The sequence below is a fragment of the Homo sapiens genome, chromosome 11 (assembly GCF_000001405.40).
Source record: "Homo sapiens chromosome 11, GRCh38.p14 Primary Assembly".
Classification (NCBI taxonomy): domain Eukaryota; kingdom Metazoa; phylum Chordata; class Mammalia; order Primates; family Hominidae; genus Homo; species Homo sapiens.
In genome coordinates, this window is record NC_000011.10 from 93770480 (window position 1) to 93794174 (window position 23695).

At 43.9% G+C, this 23695-nt stretch overlaps 1 protein-coding gene across 1 annotated transcript in view, besides 6 other annotated features; it reads left to right on the forward strand.

Moving 5' to 3' along the window:
- Positions 13624-13918: an enhancer, noted in NCBI's record as "tiled region #5970; HepG2 Activating DNase unmatched - State 1:Tss, and K562 Activating DNase unmatched - State 1:Tss". NCBI's record gives its function as "activates a minimal TATA promoter and a strong SV40 promoter by Sharpr-MPRA in HepG2 and K562 cells {active_cell/tissue: HepG2 | K562}" and the evidence as "EXISTENCE:reporter gene assay evidence [ECO:0000049][PMID:27701403]".
- Positions 13624-14079: a biological region, named in NCBI's record as "Sharpr-MPRA regulatory region 5970".
- The window catches only part of MED17 (mediator complex subunit 17), a 30682-nt gene continuing 20789 nt past the window's right edge, over positions 13803-23695 (forward strand). Inside the window, exons 1-5 of the mRNA NM_004268.5 lie at positions 13803-14284; positions 17522-17688; positions 20095-20314; positions 23249-23385; positions 23472-23556. Coding sequence (NP_004259.3) covers positions 14035-14284; positions 17522-17688; positions 20095-20314; positions 23249-23385; positions 23472-23556 — 859 coding nt within the window. The 5' untranslated portion in view covers positions 13803-14034. The remainder of the gene's footprint in view (positions 14285-17521; positions 17689-20094; positions 20315-23248; positions 23386-23471; positions 23557-23695) is intronic.
- Positions 13860-14079: an enhancer, noted in NCBI's record as "active region_5400". NCBI's record gives its function as "activates an Ori minimal core promoter by ATAC-STARR-seq in GM12878 lymphoblastoid cells {active_cell/tissue: GM12878}" and the evidence as "EXISTENCE:reporter gene assay evidence [ECO:0000049][PMID:35858748]".
- Positions 14210-14339: a silencer, noted in NCBI's record as "silent region_3840". NCBI's record gives its function as "represses an Ori minimal core promoter by ATAC-STARR-seq in GM12878 lymphoblastoid cells {active_cell/tissue: GM12878}" and the evidence as "EXISTENCE:reporter gene assay evidence [ECO:0000049][PMID:35858748]".
- Positions 14341-14535: a silencer, noted in NCBI's record as "fragment chr11:93517986-93518180 (GRCh37/hg19 assembly coordinates)". NCBI's record gives its function as "represses an EF-1alpha promoter that drives an FKBP-Casp9 reporter gene in an ReSE screen in K562 erythroleukemia cells {active_cell/tissue: K562}" and the evidence as "EXISTENCE:reporter gene assay evidence [ECO:0000049][PMID:32094911]".
- Positions 16088-16587: an enhancer, noted in NCBI's record as "H3K4me1 hESC enhancer chr11:93519733-93520232 (GRCh37/hg19 assembly coordinates)". NCBI's record gives its function as "activates a minimal SCP1, AML or CMV promoter by ChIP-STARR-seq in naive H9 embryonic stem cells {active_cell/tissue: H9 hESC(naive)}" and the evidence as "EXISTENCE:reporter gene assay evidence [ECO:0000049][PMID:30033119]".

Here is a 23695-nt window from a genome sequence, read left to right on the forward strand (position 1 = left end):
ACACAGATTAATTGATGTCTCATGTCTCCCTAAAATGTATAAAACCAACGTGTGCTCTGATCATCCTGGGCACATGTTGTCAGGACCTCCTGAGGCTATGTCACAGTGCATCCTTAACCTTGGCAAATTAAACTTTCTAAATTGACTGAGACCTGTCTCAGATATTTTGGGTTCACAGACTGTTACTCTTGTAACAAGTAGCCAAGTCTCAACCAATCACAGCAGCCATACTCCAACCACTCACAGGCGGCCAACTGTTCGAACCACCTTCAAATAAGGCAAATGCTGAGCTGTAACCAATCCAGCTGTTCCTGTACCTCCCTTCCATTTTGTGTAGGCCACTTTCCTTTTTCTGTCCTTAAATCCTCTCCAACCATCTGGCAGCACTGGAGTCACTTCTGGACCTATTCTGTTCTGGGGGTTGCCCAATTCAAGAATTGTTCTTTGTTCAATTAAGCTCCGTTTAATTTGTCTAAAATTTTTCTTTTAACAACATGTTAAAGGAAACTGAATATCATAACAAGAGAAATTTACTAAAGAATACATGGGCCAGGCACAGTGGCTCACACCTGTAATCCCAGCACTCTGGGAGGCTGAGGTGGGCAGATCTGTTAAACCCAGGAGTTCGAGATCAGCCTGGGCAACATGGAGAAACTCTGTCTCTACCGAAAACACAAAAAAATAGCCAGATGTGGTAGTGCATGCCTGTAGTCCCAGCTACTTAGAAGGCTGAGGCTGGAGGATCGCTTGAGCCCAGGAGGCAAAGGCTGCAACGAGCTGAGATCCTGCCATTGCACTCCAGTCTGGGTGACCAGAGTGAGACCTTGTGTGATGGTTGATACTGTCAACGTGATTGGATTGAAAGATGCAACGTATTGTTCCTCAATGTGTCTGTGAGGGTGTTGCCAAAGGAGATTAACATTTGAGTCAGTGGCCTGGGAAAGGCAGACTCACCCTCAATGTGGGTGGGCACCGTCCAATCAACTGCCAGTGCAGCTAGAAAAAAAGCAGGCAAAAGAAGGTGGGAGAAGCTGACTTGCTGAGTCTTCCACCCTTTATCTTTCTCCCGTGATGGATGCTTCCTGATCTCAAACATCAGACTCCAAATTCTTCAGCTTTTGGACTCTTGTACTTACACCAGTGGTTTTCCAGGGGCTCTTGGGCCTTTGGCCACAGGCTGAAGGATGCACCATCAGCTTCCCTACTTTTGAGGTTTTGGGAGTCAGACTGACTTCATTGCTCCTCAGCTTGCAGACGGCCTATTATGAGACTTCACCTTGTGATTGTGTGAGTCAATACTCCTTTATAAACTCCCCTTCATATATACATCTATCCTATTCTGTCTCTCTAGAAAACTCTGACTAATGTACCTCATCTTTAAAAAAAAACAAAAACACAAACAAACAAACATGAATTTGAACTTCTGGTGCTGGCCAAGATGGAATAAGCCTTGGCCAGCACCAAGACTTAGCACAACAACCTGTTTCCCACACAATTACAAAATATAGAACTTTGCATGAAAAAAAGCATCCCTTTCAGAACAGTTGAAAATTAAACAATGGGCTGGGCATGGTGGCTTATGCCAGTAGGCCCAGCACTTTGGAAGGCCCAGGTGGGAGGATTGCTTAAGCCCAGGAGTTTTGTTACGGGATCTTTGGGGTGTCACTTTTCTGGCTGGAAACCTGTGGCTGGTAGTGCCTTTGCTTGAGCTTTGTTCAGGCACACTGGACTCATTCCACCCATTCAGCCTGGCAGGCTGTGCTCAGCTCATGCTACTGGCTGGGATCCCATGCCTCCAAGAAAGACTGTGAGTCAGGCATGGAGAGGTGAGGGGTATCTGAGCAAGTATGGGATCCAGCCACTGCACAGTCAGACATGCTGGCTGCACCAGGTGCACTACAAGCTGCTTCCCCAGCTGGCATTGGGGAATGCGGTGGTGTCCGGAAGCTTGGAGACATCAGAAACTGCAGGGCCTCAAAGAGGGAGTCACAGCCCTGGCTCAGGGAGTTTCCAGGTCTGGCCTCCCCAAAGGGCTGCCGCTCTTCTTCTCTCCACCCACAATGTGGTGAGCAAGGGGCATGTTTCAGCCCTGTTTGTGTTACAGCTCTTTTAGTCTTGCCTTTCAGCGAGTCCCAAGTTCTTGTCCTGCAACCAGGAAGAATGAGGTATGCAGACAAGTGAAAGGTGAGCAAGATGAAAAGGAGCTTCAATGAGCATTAGAACAGCTCAAAGAAGACCTGCAGTGGGCAGCTCCTTTCCATAGACAGGGTGTCCTGATGAGTGTTCAGCTCCTAGCAGAGAGGGTAGCTCCTCTCTGCAGGCAGGTCGTCCCAACAATTGTTCAGTTCTCAGCAGAGAGAGTAGCTCCTCTCTGCAGTGGGTTGTCTCGCCATCTGTAGCTCTCACCAGAGAGGAGGCCCTAGAGTTGGTGGCTCCTCTCTGTAGGCAGGTTGTCCTGTCATCTCTCTGTCCTTTGCTTTGCTCTGGCTGAGCCTGGGGCTTTTATGGGCCTCAGAGGGGAAGAAGTGTGCGCTAATTGGTCCAAGGGCGGCCATGGATAGGCCAAGAAAAGGCACCACAAGTCTTCACTCTGGTTCCCAGGACTGGCAGTTTGGCCCCCAGCATTCAGGCCCTCCCTGACCTGAAGGTGGGGCCTCACCGGGGACCCACCCTTTTCTGCCCAGAAGCCTGTCTGCCTCCTGCCGCTGTCCATGGTTCCCAGGCTGCTCAAGTCAAGGGTCACCTGTAGGCCAGTGCTGAGCCTATTGATTTTTTTTGTTTGTTTTGTTTTGTTTGAGACAGGGTCTCATTCTGTTGCCCTGACTGGAGTGCAGCACTCCCCTCGGCTTCCCCACTATGCTTGTTGGTACCCAAAGTCTGGCAGGGCCAAGGCAGCAGGGGGCCAGCATGTCAGCACTGCCCCAAGTGTGTGCACACCTGGCTGGGCTGTGACAGTACCCCAGCTTGGCCCCATGTTGCTCCAAGATCAGAGCAGGTGCCAACAGCAGGGAGAAGCCAGTCAGTAGGAGCAGTCACTTCTGAGACCATGGGGTTGGGGGACTTCCCAGGCCTCCAAGAGTGCAGAGAGGCCCAGGTCTGGAGGTGTGAGGCATGCAGGGTGCCTGCCTGCTCTGGCCCCCAAGAACACAGGAAGGCCTGAGTCCACAGCCCCAACTTGGGCAGCTGCAGTTGCACCTGGGGTGGGGGGGATGGGGGCTGCTGCCTGCTCCCAGCTCCCACCAGTTCTGTGGAGCATGCAGCCCCAGCCAGGTCCCTTGCAGTCTGCGGCAGGAGCTCCAGGTCCTTGCTGGGCCCGGGCCAGCGTCGGGGCAGGGGTGATGTTGCTGTGAGCTCCCCACATGGCCCTGGCACTCAGGGGTGACCTGGGGCTCCCCTCTGCCTAGCTCATGGCCCTTCCCTCGGTGGGGGGCTTCTGGGACCAGATCACACGTGCAGGCCAGGGCCAGCTATCAGGAGTGTCAGGTTCAGCAGTCACCCTGATGTGGGGCAGACCTTGGGGATGTGGCTCCAGGGGGCCCTACACAGAGCCTCCTCCTGAGGTGCAGGAACCCAGAGCCATCAGCGGGGTGGGAATGGTGGCCACTGGCCAGGTCCCTGAAGCGGGTGCCACTCCCACTTCCCACCCCAGGCCCCCAAAGCATGGCCCCAACTCTGCACCCTGGGCCTGGGCCCTATACTCCATTTGCAAGCGCAGCACCGCCTGGAGCCCAGCTCCACCTCAGGGCACCTCTCTGCCCTACTGTGGTTTTCCCCCACTGGTGGGCAACCAGGCCTGGCCCCATTGTAGTGGCCCCCAGGGCAGCAGGCTGCAGGAGGGCTGACCACCTCCTCCCCATGCCCTCCCCATAGCCAGGGCTCAATGGCAGTGGCCACTCTGGATGGCCTGCCAGTGCCATCAGTTTGAGATCAGCCTGGACAAGATAGTGAGATCCTGTCTCTACAAAAATTAAAAATTGACTAGGTGTGGTGGTGCACACCTGTAGTCCCAGCTACTAGGGAGGCTGAGGTGGAAGGATCATTTGAGCCCCGGAGGTCACGGCTAAAGTGAGCCATGATCAGGTGACTGCACTCCAGTCAGGGCAACAGAGTGAGACCCTGTCTCAAACAAAACAAAACAAACAAACAAAAAAACCAATAGGCAAGTTGAGAAGACAAGTCAAAACTGAAAGAATGAACAATATGATAATGAGTTTCCTCTTTTTCCTCTCCTCTTTTATCTTCTGGATTTGACCCAAGGCAGCTTGCATTGGAGGAACTACGCAACCAGCATGGAGAACAAAAGCTCCCAAGAGACAGTCCCTCTTTCTCACCAGAGAACCAGGAAAAGGAGCCCCATGTAACCACATGGAGAAAAGTCTCCCTTTTGGCTGGGTGTGGTGGCTCATGCCTGTAATCCCAGCGCTTTGGGAGGCCGAGGCAGGCAGATCACCTGAGGTCAGGAGTTTGAGACCAGCCTGACCAACATGGAGAAACCCCATCTCTACTAAAAATACAAAATTAGCTGGGCGTGGTGGCACATGCCTGTAATCCCTGCTACTTGGGAGGCTGAGGCAGGAGAATTGCTTGAACCCAGGAGGCAGAGGTTGCAGTGAGCCGAGATCACGCCATTTCACTCCAGCCTGGACAACAAGAGCAAAACTCGATCTCAAAAAAAAAAAAAAAAAGAAAAGAAAAGAAAAAAAGAAGTCTCCCTTTTTTCTCCTTATGTTTTCTGTTCTCTCCTGGCCCTCTTCTGTTCTCTCCATGCACCTGTTAGTCCCAGATATTTGGGAGGCTGAGGTGGGAGGATCCCTTGACTAGCCCCATTGCAGGCAAAGCTGTTCTGCTGCATCAGTGGCAGCAGGTAAGCTGTTATCTAAAAGTCTGAGAGAAAAACACATCTCTTGGGCCAGAGGAATCAGGAAATGAGCCTCTTGTGATCCTATTTTCTCCCTCTTTTACTACTGTATATGGAGGGTGGTCCCAGTAATACAGAACTGCATCACAGGGGGCGCTAAAACTAAGATACACTGGCCAGAGGAAGTGCAGAAAAGGGGTGTGATTCATAGTATCCTTTTATTAACACTTTAATTCTTGTAATGACTTGGAACGTGAATCCCAAATTATCTTACACTCTGTTCTGTTATTTTTGTGCTTTGGTTTGGATTTTTCCATTGACTAGCCTTTGAGTTCATTAATCCTGTTCTCTACTGTATCAAATCTTTTATTAAACCTATCCAATGACAAAATTCAAATGTCAAAATCCTAACCCCTAAGGTGATGGTATTAGGGGGTGGGGCCTGCTGGGAAGCAATGAAGCCATGGAGGCAGAGCCCTCATGAAGGGGATTGGTACCCTTATAAAAGAGACCTGAGGGAGCTTGTTTATCTTTTCCAAGTGAGAACTCAGCAAGAAGGTGTTGTGTATAAATCAGGAAATGGGTCTTCACCAGATACCAAATCTACTGGCACATTGATCTTGAACTTCTCAGTCTCCAGAACTGTGAGAAATAACTTTCTGTTGTTTATTTAAAAAAAAAACAAAAACAAAAAACAAAACAAAAAAAACAGGTCAGGCATGGTCACTCACACCTGTAATCCCAGTACTTTGGGAGGCTGAGGCAGGAGGATCACCTGAGACCAGGAATTCAAGATCAGCCTGGGCAAGATGGTGAAACCTTATCTCTACAAAATAATTGTTTTTAATTATCTGGGCATGGTGGCATGCACCTGTTAGTCCCAGCTATTCGGGAGGCTGAGGTGGGAGGATCCCTTGAGCCCAGGAGTTCCAGGCTGCAGTGAGCTCTGATCACACCACTGCACCCCAGTCTGGGCAACAGAGCGAGACTCTGTCTCTAAAAACAAACAAACAATCTATCCAATGGGTTCCTGATTTTAACTTTTTTTTTTTTTTTTTTAACAGACAGGGTCATGCTCTGTTGGCCACACTAGAGTAGAGTGGCACAGTTACAGCTCACTGCAGCCTCAACCTCTGGGGCTCAAGTGATCCTCCACCCCAGCGCCCCAAGTAGCTGGGACTACAGGCGCACACCACCACACCCAGCTAATTTTTGTATTTTTTCTTTTTTTTTGTAGAGATGGGGTTTCACCATGTTGCCCAGGCTGGTCTGGAATTCTTGGGCTCAAGGGATCCACTTGCCTTGGCCTCCCAAAGTGCTGGGATTACAGGTGTGAGCCACTGCACCTGGCTGCCCAGCTAATTTTTTTAAAAAATTTTGTGTAGAGATGGAATCTTGCTATGTTGCCCACAGTGGTCTCAAACTCCTGGCCTCAAGGGATCCTCCCATCTAGGCCTCCTAAAGTTCTGCGATTACAAGCATAAGCCACCACACCTAGCATATGTATTCTTTTAAAACAAAACAAGCCAGACACCCTGCAATGGACTAAAGAAAATCAGTTAATGCTGAAAGGGATTAAAAGGGGCCTTAGAGATGCCCCAGGATGGGATCCCCAAGTTATAATATTCCATTTCATTATTTGTTTTTGAAAATCAGGGAAACGCCTTAGACATTCTGACATAAAAACAGGGAGCCCAAAACAGACCTATAGGCTACTATAGTCAGTAACTGGACCCTTTGACTAAAGCACTGCCCCCTTGCATGAGGGCAATAACTTCCACTGCTTTGTTAGTAAGAGCCACCAGAGAAATAGTGATGCGAATTTCCTGTCACTTAGTTCCACATTCTGTGAAAGCACTTCAAAATTGGCACCACATTCAACATTATTCGGTCATCAGACTACTTATGAAGTTCTTTTTTCCGTACCTCATACTACAATCTCTAGGTGCAATAATCTAAACTCTGCCATTCTTCTGCCTCGAGATGAGATTGCATAATCTTTATTTTTATTTTTATTTTTTTCAAGGCAGAGTCTTGCTCTGTCACCCAGGCTGGAGTGCCGTGGCCCAAGCGCAGCTCACCAGCTCACTGTAGGCTTGACCTGCTGGCCTGGAGCAATCCTTCCGCCTAATTTTTTGATTTTTCTTTTTTTTAGAGGCGAGGTCTCACTATGTTGCGAAGGCTGGTCTCGAACTCCTGGCCACACGTGATCTTCCCACCTCGGCCTCCCAAAGTGTCGGATTACAGGCGTGAGCCACCGTGCCCGCCCATAAGTGCATAATCTTAACCGATCAATTTCTCTCTCCTATAACAGACCTGCAAGAGATTCTCCTTATTAACGCTGACATTGTTTGGCTTAGAAATAGATTCCCCTTATTAACGCTGATGTTGTTTGGCTTACAGATGGATCTTACCTAAAGAATAAACCTGGGACTTATTGCACAGATTGCGCTGTAGTATCTTTTTTTTTTTTCTTTATTGAGACAGAGTCTTGCTCTGTCACCCAAGCTGGAGTGCAGAGGCGCGATCTTGGCTCACTGCAACCTCCACCTCCCGGGTTCAAGCAATTCTCCTGCCTCAGCCTTCCCAGTAGCTGGGATTACAGGCAGGCGCCCGCCACCACAGCTGGCTAATTTTTGTATTTTTAGTAGAGATGGGGTCTTGCCATATTACCCAGGCTGGTCTCAAACTCCTGAGCTCAGGCAATCCACCCACCTCAGCCTCCCACAGTACTGGGAATACAGGCGTGAGCCACCGCGCCCAGCCAGGTTACTCTATAGAATCTTTATATATATATATATATATATATATATATATATATATATATATATATATTTTTAAATAATACTTTAAGTTCTAAGGTACATGTGCACAACGTGCAGGTTTGTTACATACGTATACATGTGCCATGTTGGTGTGCTGCACCCATTAACTCGTCATTTACATTAGGTATATCTCCTAATGCTATCCCTCCCCCCTCCCCCCACCCCACAACAGGCCCCGGTGTGTGATGTTCCCCTTCCTGCGTGCAAGTGTTCTCATTGTTCAATTCCCACCTATGAGTGAGAACATGCAGTGTTTGGTTTTCTGTCCTTGCGATAGTTTGCTCAGAATGATAGTTTCCAGCTTCATCCATGTCCCTACTCATCATTTTTTATGGCTGCATAGTATTCCATGGTGCATATGTGCCACATTTGCTTAATCCAGTCTATCATTGTTGGACATTTGGGTTGGTTCCAAGTCTTTGCTATTGTGAGTAGTGCCACAATAAACATACATGTGCATGTGTCTTTATAGCAGCATGATTTATAATCCTTTGGGTATATACCCAGTAATGGGATGGCTGGGTCAAATGGTATTTCCAGTTCTAGATCCCTGAGGAATCACCACACTGTCTTCCACAATGGTTGAACTAGTTTACAGTCCCGCCAACAGTGTAAAAGTGTTCCTATGTCTCCACATCCTCTCCAGCAGCACCTGTTGTTTCCTGACTTTTTAATGATCGCCATTCTAACTAGTGTGATATGATACCTCAATGTGGTTGTGATTTGCATTTCTCTGATGGCCAGTGATGATGAGCATTTTTTTCATGCATCTGCTGGCTGCATAAATGCCTTCTTTTGAGAAGTGTCTGTTCATATCCTTCGCCCACTTTTTGATGGGGTTGGTTGTTTTTTTCTTGTAAATTTGTTTGAGTTCTTTGTAGATTCTGGATATTAGCCCTTTGTCAGATGAGTAGATTGCAAAATTTTTCTCCCATTCTGTAGATTGCCTGTTCACTCTGATGGTAGTTTCTTTTGCTGTGCAGAAGCTCTTTAGTTTAATTAGATCCCATTTGTCCATTTTGTCTTTTGTTGCCATTGCTTTTGGTGTTTTAGACATGAAGTCCTTGCCCATGCCTATGTCCTGAATGGTATTGCCTAGGTTTTCTTCTAGGGTTTTTATGGTTTTAGGTCTAACATTTAAGTATTTAATCCATCTTGAATTAATTTTTGTATAAGGTGTAAGGAAGGGATCCAGTTTCAGCTTTCTACATATGGCTAGCCAGTTTTCCCAGCACCATTGGTTAAATAGGGAATCCTTTCCCCATTGCTTGTTTTTGTCAGGTTTGTCACAGATCAGATGGTTGTAGATATGTGGTATTATTTCTGAGGCCTCTGTTCTGTTCCATTGGTTTATATCTCTGTTTTGGTACCAGTACCATGCTGTTTTGGTTGCTGTAGCCTTGTAGTATAGTTTGAAGTCAGGTAGTGTGATGCCTCCAGCTTTGTTCTTTTGGCTTAGGATTGACTTGGCAATGAGGGCTCTTTTTTGGTTCCATATGAACTTTAAAGTAGTTTTTTCCAATTCTGTGAAGAAAGTCATTGGTAGCTTGATGGGGATTGCATCGAATCTATAAATTACCTTGGGCAGTATGGCCATTTTCACTATATTGATTCTTCCTATCCATGAGCATGAAATGTTCTTCCATTTGTTTGTGTCCTCTTTTATTTTGTTGAGCAGTGGTTTGTAGTTCTCCTTGAAGAGGTCCTTCACATCTCTTGTCAGTTGGATTCCTAGGTATTTTATTCTCTTTGAAGCAATTGTGAATGGGAATGGTGCTCACTACCACGCCCAGCTAATTTTTGTATTTTTAGTAGAAAAGGGGGTTTCACCATATTGGCCAGGCTGGTCTCGAACTCCTGACCTTGTGATCCGCCCACCTCAGCCTCCCAAAGTGCTGGGATTACAGTCGTGAGTCACTTTGCCTGGCCAATAACACAAATTTTTAAGATCCCATGGCCAAAGGCTTCTATTGGCTTTGCTTAACCCAAGATCAACCCCTTTGGAATACATCAGTTGTACCCATTTGAAATAATAACTCACATAGCTATGAATCTGTCCCAGGAAATGGTAACTCCTTAACTGTAAGAGGAGATATATTCCTTTGTTGTTCTAACCTTATGAGATAATTAACTAAAAATTATTACCTAGTGAAAGATTATTTCCTAATGGGCTCTTGGGATATGAAAAATTCAAGACCCACAATTTTCATCCAGGAGACTGTATCTACTGGGAACAACATCCTCTAAAGGACTGTCTCCAACCAAGTGGAAGGGCTCTTACCAAGTGCTTCTTAGTAATCCTTTTGCTATTATATTAGAAGGAATAGACTCCTGGCCGGGTGTGGTGGCTCATGACTGTAATCCCAGCACTTTGGGAGGCCAAGGTGGATGGATCGCCTGAGCTCAGGAGTTCACCAACCTGGGCAAGATGGCGCGACCCCATCTCTACTAAAAATACAAAAATTAGCCGGGTGTGATGGTGGGCACCTGCCTGTAATCCCAGCTACTGGGGATGCTGAGGCAGGAGAATCACTTGAACCCTGGAGGCACAGGTTGCGGTGAGCTGAGATTGCATCACTGCACTCCAGCCTGGGTGACAGAATGAGACTCCATCTCAAAAAAACAAAAAACAGAAACTAGAATAGACTCCTGGATCCATGTCTGGATCTGAAGAGGGCTCCATCTCCTGAGGGACTGTTTCCCCAGAAGGTGATCTCTGTTTCAAAATAAGTCAATGACAGGTCTAGAACAAGATAACATCTGATGTAGGTGGCTAAAACCCAAGACTCCAAACCAGGCCTGTATCTAAACAAATGCTTAATATTAGCAAATGTTAATACATGGGGAAGACTTTCCTTTACAAGCTCCCATTAAACTTCTTTCTTTTTGTCCTTAGTTTTCATGTCTCGGCACTACTATCATTAACTGTTGCCCATAAAGCAAACCTCTTTTTGCAATGGGCTTAGGACTATGCTAATAGATTATTTAAAAAAATGCTGATTGAACATGTGGTCTCATGCCCCTTTCCAGTAGTTCTGGCTTTCCTGGTGGGTATCTTCTCTCCAAGGAAAGAAATATATTGCTCCAAGGAGAGAAGATATTGCATAGAATATCAGAAATATATTTGTGTTTCTTAAAAACAGTCATGGTGCTTGACAGTAGTATGATGAAGGATAAAGTACATCACTAGCCTATTAATAATACTTTAAAGGCTGGGCGCAGTAGTTCACACCTGTAATCCTTGCACTTTGGGAAGCCAAGGCGGGCAGATCGACTGAGCTCAGGAGTTTGAGACCAGCCTGGCCAGCAAAGTGAGACCCTGTCTCGACTAAAAACACAAAAATTAATCAGTCGTGGTGGTGTGCACCTGTAGTCCCAGCTACTCGGGAGGCTAAGGCAGGAGAATCACTTGAACCTAGGAGGCGGAGGTTGCAATGAGCCAAGATCGCACCACTGCACTCCAGCCTGGGTGACAGAGCAAAACTCCATCTCAAAAAACAAAACAAAAACAAAACAAAACAAAACGAAACAAAACCTTTACAGAGTAAAAGCCATGGAAGGAGCTTCTTAGTAAAAGAAACTAGTTTGTTAACTTTAATGCTGGCACTGTCCCAACTAAGTAATGAAACAACGACACTGTTCCAATTAAGAGATAAGACACCTTGATTTCAGAATGGTATAACACAAATTGGGGATGGTTTTATCTGGCTTATCCCTCCTTCTGTCAGCCCAGCCACCTTGTCCTTGCCACCCCAACTTTTTATTTATTTATTTTTTTTGAGACAGAGTCTTACTCTGTTGCCCAGCCTGGAGTGCAGTGGTGAGATCTTGGCTCACTGTAATCTCTGCCTCCTGGGTTCAAGTGATTCTCCTGCCTCAGCCTTCTGAGTACCTGGGATTACAGGCATGCATCACCACGCCCAGCTAGTTTTTGTATTTTTAGTAGAGACGAGGTTTCGTCATGTTGGCCAGGCTAGTCTCGAACTCCTGACCTCAGGTGATCCACCCGCCTCATTCTCCCAAAGTGGAGGATTACAGGCGTGAGCCACCGTGCCTGGCCACTTTGCCCCTTTATGTTGGGAACAAAGAAATCATACCAAAGATATCTGGCCCAAAAGCACTGGAGATATGGCATGGATACCCAAAGAACTGTGTATTCACACCATTATATTACAAAGTACTGACTGGCATGCCATTTAATGTATTTATTGATTAGCTCCAAATGGAACATTTTGGCTATGTGGCACTAACCTATGACCATGGTTACTTCCAGGATAGTTAGGATGATGTTTTTCAGGTTATGCTTAATCATATATTTGAGTAGTTTGTACTTTGCCAAAACCTGCAAATTTTCCTTATTTATGATCTCATTGGGTTCATCCTGTGTTTCATTGGTATGATCACTTAGCTTCCATCTTCATACCACAACTGAGTGTTGAAGATGTTATTTGGCATATAGAGGTCCTAACCAATTATACCCAAAAGATAGCTACATAAGTATTCCATTATTAAACAATAGTTATTCTTATGGAAAAGGCCATTATTACAAAACCGTATGGCTTTTGACATACTCACCGAAGCCCAGGGAGGAACTTGCATTATCATAAAAACTGTGTGTTATGTCTGTATCCCAGATGAATCAGATAATATCACTACGTTAATGGATAATATGAAAACCTTAACAACTAACCTTTCAGATCCAACACATCTTTAAACAACTGGCTAAGCAGCTAGTTTTGATCTTGAAGACTTGGTGGCAAAAGCTTTGCTTATTCTAGGAATCATAATCATTTGTTGTTGTCTTGTTTTTGTCTGCACTATTAGACTGCCACTGCGCCTGGCTATTAATCAGATTTTAAAATAAAGTTAAAAAAAATTTTTAAACAAATTTACACGAAAAGCAAGTACAGTGGTTCTCGAACATGATTGGGCGACAGACTGTACAGCTTGCCAGAAATAGGTTTCTCTCATGAAAATTCAACCCCCTCCACACACGGCCATCTACTTTCTTCTTCAGCAGGGACTGACACCAGGGCAACCGTATTTTCCTAAATACCTTAGGAAAGTAGTTCAAAACCTAGATATATCTTGGTCAGAACAAAACCTGGCAAACACTCATGATAAACGGTATATATAATTCCTTAAACGAAATATAGAGGTTTGTAATATAAAATAATCCATCTTTGTCTGTGGAATTCCTACTAATGAAATACGTTCTTGGAGACCCAAAGACTGAAGTTATACCACTTCTTCTTAATCTTTTAAATATTATTTGCAGGCCAGGCATGGTGACACGCTCCTATAGTCCCAGCTCCTCAGGAGGCTAAGGCAGGAGCATCGTTGGAGCCCAGGAGCTCCAGGCTGTAGCGTGCTGACAGCACTTGTGAATAACCTCTGCACTCAGCCTGGGCAACATAGTGGGACCCCATCACTAATAAAAAAGCGAGATCAACATTATTTATTCTGTTACTCGGGCATAAAATAAATATTAAGCACTTACTACATGCCAGAGTCTATTATGTCTGCTGCAGATATTGGCTGTCATAGAGTTATAACTAACAGGAAACCAAATAATTACGTAGTATAATTTTAAGTGGTGATAAGCACGATTGTTTCCCCCAAGCCATGCCCTTAATTTCTAACTCTTCAGATAGTGTTTCTTTAAAAAATTTCTTGCTAATTTAAAATAACTTTTGTTTTGAGGCAGGATCCCACTCTGTTGCTTAGGCTGGAATGCAGCGGTGAGATCTCGGCTCACTGCAGCCTCCATCTCCAGGGCTCAAGCCATTCTCCCGCCTCAGCCACCCGCGTAGCTGGACCACAGGCGCGCGCCACCAGATCTCAGTTCTCTCAACAGGACTCTCATTGCTAAGATCCAAGGATCCATTAATTTCCTTTTCCTTAACTCTTCTAGCCTCTGCAGCTTTCTTTCCTCATCCACTTTTTAAACAAACGCAGGCTTAAAAAGCAAGGAATATACCCGCCACACTCTCGGCTCCCAAACCGCTCTTTCCCTCCCTCTGCCGGCCACGCCTCTTATAGGCCCGGAAGTTTACCCCACCCTGCACCGTGATTCACCGGAAGCGCTCTAGGGAACCCTGGAGCTTCCGCGCCTGCCCAGTTTTGCTCCGAAAGACTTACCGAGGAGGGAGCTTGCGGTGCGTTCTGGGAAAGTTGCTGGGCCAGCTCCTTTGTTTCCAGTCTGAGCGTTGCGTTCGGTTTCCCGAGGGTCTTCTGAGGCACCGCGGCTGCGGGCTTCTGAGTTCCCGGCTCTCCGCAGGGAAGCCTCCTCTTCGTACCTCGTTTTTTGGCTCGTGGGGGGTCCTCCCACCGCTGGCCGACGCAGCCAGCATGTCCGGGGTGCGCGCAGTGCGGATCAGCATCGAATCGGCCTGCGAGAAGCAGGTCCATGAGGTGGGCCTGGATGGCACCGAGACGTACCTGCCCCCGCTGTCCATGTCGCAGAATCTGGCGCGTCTGGCCCAGCGGATAGACTTCAGCCAGGGTTCGGGCTCCGAGGAGGAGGAGGCGGCGGGGACCGAGGGCGACGCGCAGGAGTGGCCGGGCGCCGGGTCCAGCGCAGACCAGGACGACGAGGAAGGTAAGGCCTGCATCCGCTGCCCGAGTCCCCCGGTCTGGGTCCCAGCACCCGCGCGGGCCTCCGCCTCTCCCGCGATGGGGGTGATCTTGTGCGTGCGAGAACTTTTGAGTGTCCCTCTAGCGGAAGCGTAAGGATACTTGGTCGTCATCTTTTTGTTGCTGCCGGACAAGGTAGGACACGACTTTACGTAATACTCCTGCGGGTCTCCTTGAATGGCAGCGTTTAGAGACACTGTCAAACCGTGAAATGTTTAAATGAATGCTTCTCTGTAGAGGGCCTTTAATGTAGCACACTTAGTGGCTAAAAGAGCCCTAGATCGGGGCTCTGCCCCTTGCCGGCTGTGTGACCTTGGGCGAGTTACTTTGCATCCTTGTGCGGTGTGAATGATGATAGTAGCACCTGCAGAAAAGAGGTCTGTTTTGACTGAAATGTGTGACGAGGTCCAAGAGGTAGGCGGGTCCAGATCATGTAGAACCCAGTAGGCCGGGATAAGCGTTTGACTAGTGTTAAGACCACTGAAAGCTTTTGCAGGATAAGTAGAGATGGTTTTGTTAAAGTTTACTCTAGATGCTTTCTAATAAATGAATTATAGGGAAAGCAAAACTGGAAGGGAGGAGACTAGGAGGGAAGTGAAGAAATAATGAGTGGGTTTCAGATTCTCATTATTGTCAAGGATTTTTGAAAAAAAAATCAAAATTCTTAATTTAGTTATGCAGCACACCCAGTGTAAATGGGAATTTAAAGATGTCATTTCAGGGCAGTGCTGTTAGGATTATTAGGGGTCTATTTGCAAAAAAAGGTAAATACTACTTTATACCTCACACAAAAATTATTTCCACAGTAATTTTTGAGGATTGAAGTGCCAAATGAAGAAAGTAAAACAAAGTGTTAGAAGAAATAATGAAAGAATAGTTGTATTATTCTGGGAGTCGGATAGATCTTCTTAATTTCGGAAATAACAGGACAGGCATGGTGGCTCACACCTGTAGTTCCAACATTTTTGGAGGCCAAGGTGGAAGGATCACTTGAGCCCAGACTTCAAGACCAGCCTGAGCAACATAGGGAGCTCCTGCCTCTACAAATTAAAAAAATTAGCTGGGCGTGGTGGTGCACGTCTGTGGTCCCAGCTACTGGGGAGGCTGAGGGAGGAGGATGGATTCAGCCAGTGAGATCAAGGCTGCAGTGAGCTATGATTGTGCCACCGCACTCCAGCCTGGGTAACAGAACAAGACTCTAACATCCACACACACAACCACACACCTACCTACCTTACAAAGTATAGATATATTACTTACATAAAATTTAAAAATAATGGGAAAAGATGCCATAAGCAAAGTAAAAAGATAAATGACAGACTGGGAGAAGTTCTACACATATAACACAAATTTAGTTGATATCTTCTCTATTCAAAAAGTCCCTTCAGACTGAAAAGAAAATAATGACACTTTGGAAAAATAGGCCAAAGGTATCTGAAGGCTCATAGAGGAGAGACTTCAGATACCAATAAACAGAACATAGACTCAATCTCATTACTAGGGACTGGGAAATTAAAACATGATTAAGATACTCTTTCCATGCACAAAATTGACAGAAATTGAAAAGATTGTTAATATTCAGGGTTAGGAATGTGAACTGGTAGTGATTCTGAAAGACAATTTGGCAGTTTAATATGTGCCAACATTTAATTTTAACTTTTTTTGGTTTGTTTTGTTTTTTTTTTTGAGATGGAGTCTTGCTCTGTCGGCCAGGCTGGAGTGCAGTGGTGCAATCTCGGCTCACTGCAACCCCTGCCTCCTGGATTCAAAACGATTCTCCCACTTCAGCTTCCCTAGTATGTGGGACTGTAGGCGTGCGGCACCATGCCTGGCTAATTTTTGTATTTTTAGTAGAGATAGAGTTTCACCATGTTGGCCAGGCTGGTCTTAAATACCTGATGTCAGGTGATCCACCCTGCCTCGGCCTCCCAAAGTGCTGGGATTACAGGCCTGAGCCACTGCACCCAGCCGAAACTTTTAAATGTATATCTCCTTTGATTCACTATTACCACGACTAAAAATTTAACCTGCAGAAAAAGTTGCACATATACAGGGTATATATTCAAGATGTTTACCACTGCTAGCATTGTTGGAAGCAGTTTACTTGTTGGAAGCAATCTACATGTCCGTTAAATACAAGTGGTTAAACATACCGTACATCCATGTTCCAGAATATCATACAGTGTTAGAAGAATTAAGTAGACTCATAAGTACTAACATGGAAGTGTCTCTAGGAAATATTAAGTGGGGGCGGGGGAAAGGCAAGTAATAGAAAATTGGAAATAGATGTATGTAAGTGCATAGAAAAACCTTTGAAAGGGTACACTCACTGGGGCCGGGCGCAGTGGCTCACGTCTGTAATCCCAGCACTTTCGGAGGCCGGGGCAGGCAGATCACGAGGTCAGGAGATCAAGACCATCCTGACTAACATGGTGAAACCCCGTCTCTACTAAAAATACAAAAAATTAGCTGGGCGTGGTGGTGGGTGCTTGTAGTCCCAGCTACTGGGGAGGCTGAGGCAGGAGAATGGCATGAATCCGGGAGGTGGAGCTTGCAGTGAGCTGAGATCGCGCTACTGCACTCCAGCCTGGGTGACAGAGCAAGACTTTGTCTCAAAAAGAAAAAAAAAAGAAAAGAAAGGCTACGCTCCATCTGTTAATAGTGGTTACCTCTCAGGAGGGGAGAGAATCGGGTGGGGAATGAAGGAAAACTTTCACTTTTTACCCTCTAATTCTTTATTGTGTGAACTCTATATAGTGAATGTTCATGTATTTAATCACAATACTTTTTTTAATGGTTAAAAGGAAGATATGCTAATAGTGGCTGGCTTACAGGTCATTTTCATTTTGTACTTTTCTGTATTTTGGAAATTTTGTACAATTGTAAATTCAAGTTCTAAACACTGTAAGAAGATTATTAAAAAGGTTTACATAAATTTGAAAAGAGATTTGAGTCTATAATGTTGTAATGATAAATTTAACCTGTGGAAATAGATGTCATATTCATTTTGCGATTGTAGGAATGCTAATGTGAATGTTAACAAAGTTTTAAGAAACGGTAGAGGAGATGGCATAAATAAGAGAACAATTTGAAATTTAATTAATTATTTCTCCTTTTAGTACTTTTTAAACCTAAGTGAGCTGTCTGCCATTCAATGTAACGAATACTTCTGTATTTCTTTTTTTTCTCTCTCTCTTTTTAGGAGTGGTAAAATTTCAGCCTTCCCTTTGGCCTTGGGACTCAGTGAGGAACAATTTGAGAAGTGCCCTGACAGAGATGTGTGTTCTCTATGATGTTCTCAGTATTGTTAGGGATAAAAAATTTATGACTCTTGATCCTGTCTCTCAGGATGCACTTCCTCCAAAACAGGTATTTGTGGACTTTAATTGAATAATAAAATTTTATTTATTAAATCCCAGGACCCTTTTTTGGCTTTGTGCCTGTTGTTCCATTTTCCTTTCTTGCAAAATTAAGTCCAGATGAAGATTTAAAGACTAACTGGTCTAAAACAAAGCCATACAACTGCATTTCCTTTATTTTTTTATTATATACCTATGATCCTTGGAAGAGTTAAGTTTCATTAAGAATGTAATACCTTTAAGGCCAGGCGTGGTGGCTCACGCCTGTAATCCCAGCACTTTGGGAGGCCAAGGCGGGCAGATCACGAGGTCAGGAGATCGAGACCATCCTGGCTAATGCTGTGAAACCTTGTCTCTATTAAAAATAACAAAAATAAGCCAGGCGTGGTGGTGGGCACCTGTAGTCCCAGCTACTCAGAAGGCTGAGGCAGGAGAATTGCTTGAGCCTGGGAGGCGGGGGTTGCAGTGAGCTGAGATCGCGCCACTGCACTCCAGCCTGGGCGACAGAGCGAGATTCCATCCCAAAAAAAAAAAAAAAAAGAATGTAATACTTTAAAGGTTACCAAATCTTAACAAATTCTTATAGCCTGGGTCCTTGGTCTGTGATATATTACACAAAAATGTGATGATATAATGGCTTTGGAATCAGGTAGACCTGGATTCGAATCCTGCCTCTGCCTTCATTAACTGTGTGACCTTAAATTAAGCAAGTTATTTTCTCTTAAGTCCCTGTTTTTCCATCTAATCCTTCCTTCCCTTTTTTTTTAAGGGATGGATTAGAAAAGTTAGGCGAAATTATGGAGCATATTGAGAGCTGGGTAGAATTGCTGCTATTTCATAAACAGTGTATTCAATTTTTGAACATTTGAAGATGAAAGAGAAGTAGCAGGAAGATGAGTTGGTGAATAGTCTGAAATCATTGAGGCTACTTGGGTCCTTAAGGAAAACAAGTGTCAAGACCATAACCAAATTAGTCATGGAGAAGAAGTAATGACTGTTAGAACCCATTTGTAAATAAAATTAATTGAATAGAATTACTCACATAGTAATAGTTTCAGAATCTAGAAACATTGTGCTGGGGGACTAATAGAGTTCCCTAAATCTGCATTCTTCATTTTATAGAGAGAAAACTAAAGCTTAAAGAGATTTGTAATATGTTCAAGTTGCTGTCAAGCCAGTAGTTAGGGAGCCAAGACTAGAACTCCAGCACCTAACTCATAGCCCCACTGCCTTTTCTACTATTCTGTGCTTTTCCCAGAAGGGAGTCTCCAGGAATTTCTTAATATCTCCAGGAACTCTTTTATTTACGTTCCCTAATACAATCAAAAGATTATTTTGATATGTTTATGAAGCTTTTTATGTGATTTTTGACTCTCATACAGCCAGAAAACTGTATTAAACTGGTTAGTAAAATACACAAATTATGGTGATTGTGGATATTTATATATGCATATGTGATACATAGATAGTGACTTCTGATCAGTTTTCCAAAAAATTAGGATTCAGTGAAGTACATTTAATATTAACAATGGCAGGGCACGGTGGCTTATGCCTGTAATTCCAACACTTTGGGGAACCAAAGCAGGAAGCCAGGAGTTTGAGACTTTCCCAGGCAACATAGCAAGACCCTGTCTCTACCAAAAAAAAAAAAAAAAGCCAGGCTTGGTGTTGCACATCTGGAGTCCCAGCTTCTCAAGAAGCTGAAGCAGGAGGATCACTTGAGCCAGTAGGTCAAGGCTATGGTGAGCCAAGATGGTGGTACTGCATTCTAGACTGGGTGACAGAACAAGACTCCATCTCAAAAGAAAAAAAGTTAATGCTGTGTGATTTTAGTCCTAATTCCAAAAGCACTTTAATAGCTTATGGTAAGATGCAAAATATGGTAAGCTACAAAATACAAGATAATTTTACAGTTATACCCATTGCAGTCATTCATTCATTCATTAAATCAAATATTATGTGCCAGGCATTGTTCTAGGGTTTGTGGATATAGTGATTTCTGCCATCATGCAGGTTACCATTGAAGCAGAGATTATAGATGTTAATCAGAAGTATAATGAGTGCCAAAAAGGTTATATATAACTATATGTGTGTATGTACAGGATAGGGGGCTGGCAATATATAAGGAGAGGAATGGCAGTACATTAAGAGGGGACCCTAACAGGCTGGACAGAGTTGATGCAATGGTAAGTTCTGAGTAGAGGCCATTGTAGTGTTTTTGGTTTAACATAAGTAAAGCTTTGAGTGAGTTGGACAAAGAAATAGGTTAAGGTTATTATTTTATTAAAAACACTGTTATGTGTACTTGCCCCTCCTTTTTGCTTTTTGTTCACTTCATTTTATTATTGATAAAATGTGTAATTTTAGAGTCATTTAAAAATCCTGCAGAACTGCATGTTTGGGTTGTTTTTGACAGAATCCTCAGACGTTGCAATTGATATCTAAAAAGAAGTCACTTGCTGGAGCAGCACAAATCTTATTGAAGGGGGCAGAAAGACTGACTAAATCAGTTACCGAAAACCAAGAAAACAAGCTACAAAGAGACTTCAATTCTGAGCTTTTGCGATTACGGCAACACTGGAAACTTCGAAAAGTTGGAGATAAAATTCTCGGAGATCTGAGCTACAGAAGTGCAGGTATGAATAATTATTAAAAACTATACTTTCTGGCCAGGTGTGGTGGCTCATGCGTGTAATCCTAGCACTTTGGAAGGCCAAGGCAGTTGGATCACTTGAGGCCAGGAGTTCAAGATGAGCCCAGGCAACATGGCAAAACCCTATCTCTACCAAAAATGCAAAAAATTAGCCAGGCGTGGTAACACGCACCTGTAATCCTAGCTACTTGGGAGGCTGAGGCATGAGAATTGCTTGAACCCAGGAGGTGGAGGTTGCAGTGAGCCAAGATCGCACCATTGCTCTCCAGCATGGGGGACAGAGCGAGACTCTCTCAAAAACACAAACAAAAACAATGCTTTCTGTGTAAGTATAATGTTAAACATCCTTCTATAATGTATTATTTCTCAGCTATGTGTTACGTTTCAAAATTTTAATTTCTGTTCATATAAGCCAAAACCACTCTTATCAGAACCTTATAATAAATAGCCTAGTTTCTATTTCAAAACCTTTTAGGTACACTTAACAGAAAGTTCAAAGATGGGGTTTATGTGCTGACACACCTTGAAGCATAATTGACTTTTTAGTTAGAAATGAGGTAGAACTACACTCCTCAATCAAGGCCTTACCTGTAACCCTTAAAAACTGAACATGGCGGGGTGCAGTGGCTCACACCTGTAATCCTAGCACTTTGGGAGGCTGAGGTGGGCAGATTGCTTGAGCTTAGGAATTCGATACCAGCCTGGGCAACATGGCAAAACTTCATCTCTACAAAAAATACAAAAATTAGCTGGGCGTGGTGTTGCATACCTGTTAGTCCCAGCTACTCAGGAGGCTGAGGCAGGATGATCCCTTGAGCCCAGGAGGTCCTGGCTGCAGTGAGCCGAGATTGCACCACTGCATTCCAGCCTGACCTTGTCTCAAAAAAAACCCCAAAAAAAACCAAACGAAAACTGGACATGATGCAATTCTCAGTGTTCTTCTGAGAATTAAAACAAACAAACAAAAAAACTCGACATGAAAGGAGGAAAGAAACTTTCTATTCTTTGCCCTTTCTTTTCCCATTAATCTGCTCAGCTGTTTTTATGTCCTGAGTGAAGAGAAAGGGTGGCAAAAAGGTTTGCTTTCCTTTTTCCCACCAAACTAGGGCTACAGCACTAACTTAGGGAATGCAACTTTTGGGGGCATACTAAAGTTTGATGATGTTGACTTCATATTTTTTGGTATAAATTCTTAGTCGTTGAGCTATAATAAATAGTAGGTTTTACAAGGTAATAATGGCAATGTTTTATAAGCTGCTGAGGCAGTCAGCGGGCTGGCTATATGGAAAAACTTCATAGCTCAATGGGGTAGAAGCTGTGAATATCAGGGGAGGAGGCAAGAAGTCTTGGCTTTGATCGTTGAGATAATGGTAGAGTGATATCTGAAAGATTCATTTGCCAGAGTAAGCTATCATTATCCTAAAATTAAAAAAAGGTTAAGGTGGTTAAGTCAAATACTGGAGGACTGACATGCTTCAGCATTGATATTAGTTGGGTTATTTTGAATCCTGAAGGTTAAATCTCATTATAAAGATGAATTAAAGATGACAAGACCATTTAAAAATTTTAATAGGTGGTCTGTAGAAGCAGTGCTTTCTGGTTTTGGGCATTTTCTTTTCCACAAATAATTTGTGTGCAAGAACTTTAATTCTTTCTTTGGGGTAGTCACTCATGATTATGAAAGGATTTGATCACATTGTTTTTAATTGCAAGAAAATCTTTAGCATCTTCCCTTGTTATAAAACCAGTTACATTGAACCACCTATTTCTTATGTAATTCAATGGCCCAGAACAACTTACCCAAACTCCTGACCTACACAAAAACACATCACATAAAATCTAGGAACTGGGCTGGGCATGGGGGCTCACACCTGTAATCTCAGCACTTTGGGAGGCCAAGGTGGGAGGATTGCTTGAGCCCAGGAGTTCAAAACCAGACTGAACAACATAGACCCTATCTCTAAGAAAAAAAACTTAAAAATTAGCTGGGTGTGATGGCATGTACCTGCAGTCCTAGTTACTTGGGAGGCTGAAGTGGGAGGATTGTTAAATCCTAGGAGTTTGAGGCTGCAGTGAGCTATGATTACACCACCACACTGCAGCCTGGAAGACAGAGGGAGACCTTGTCTCTAAAAAGATAATAAAAAATAAAAAATCTAGGAAACTGGTTGAAAAAAAGATGTTATGTGCACTATCCTCTGTCTTTCTGTTGTTGGATGCAGAGCACTTAGTTGAAACCTTAGTAGAGAGGCTAAGCTCCAGAAGTATTTCATCCCCAAGGTTTCATTTCTAGGAGTACACCTCTTTTTTTTTTTTTTTTTTTTTGAGACAGAGTTTCGCTCTTGTTGCCCAGGCTAGAGGGCAATGGCGCGATCTCAGCTCACCACAACCTCCATCTCCCGGGTTCAAGCAATTCTGCCTTAGCCTCCTCAGTAGCTGGGATTACAGGCATGTGCCACCACGCCCAGTTAATTTTGTATTTTTAGTAGAGATGGGGATTTCTCCATGTTGGTCTTGGCTGGTCTTGAACTCCTGACCTCAGGTGATCCATCCGCCTCGTCCTCCCAAAGTGCTGGGATTACAGGCATGAGCCACCATGCCTGCCCTGTGAGTACACCCATTTTTATCAATACTCCATTGGAATAAAACAATTTGGATTTTCTGTGGAATTCTTATTATGTTGATGTCATTAGACTAAGAAGTGTTTTTTTTTTTTAAGGTAAATAACCACCCCCCACCTTTATCTTTCTTTCCTTTGTTCACCATTCCTCACCCTTTTCCCCCAAAACATATGTTTTTTAGTGGGGACTTACTTTGTGATTCAGTGATGTGGATGTGAAGTATTATATATTTAATAATGTGTGTCGGAATAATATGTTAACTGTTTTATATTTTCCTATTTTTAATACAACATTAGGATCTCTCTTTCCTCATCATGGTACATTTGAAGTAATAAAGAATACAGATCTCGATCTGGATAAAAAGATACCTGAAGATTACTGTCCTCTTGATGTCCAAATTCCTAGTGATTTAGAGGGGTCTGCATATATCAAGGTATTTGTCAAAATATTTTTCAAGTAATTTCTTACGAATAGCCTGAAGTTAATTTGTTAACTTTTTTTGTTTTTGTTGTCATATAGGTTTCAATACAAAAACAGGCTCCAGATATAGGTGACCTCGGCACAGTTAACCTCTTCAAACGACCTTTGCCCAAATCCAAACCAGGTATGGTTATGTTCTATTCTCTAATTTCTGGTCTTATTTGAGCTGACATTTTAAAATAAACTGAAGATAAATATAGGTAGGAAAAAATAGATAGTTTGAAGTAAGAACAATTCAAAATATACTTCTAAAATTTATCAAT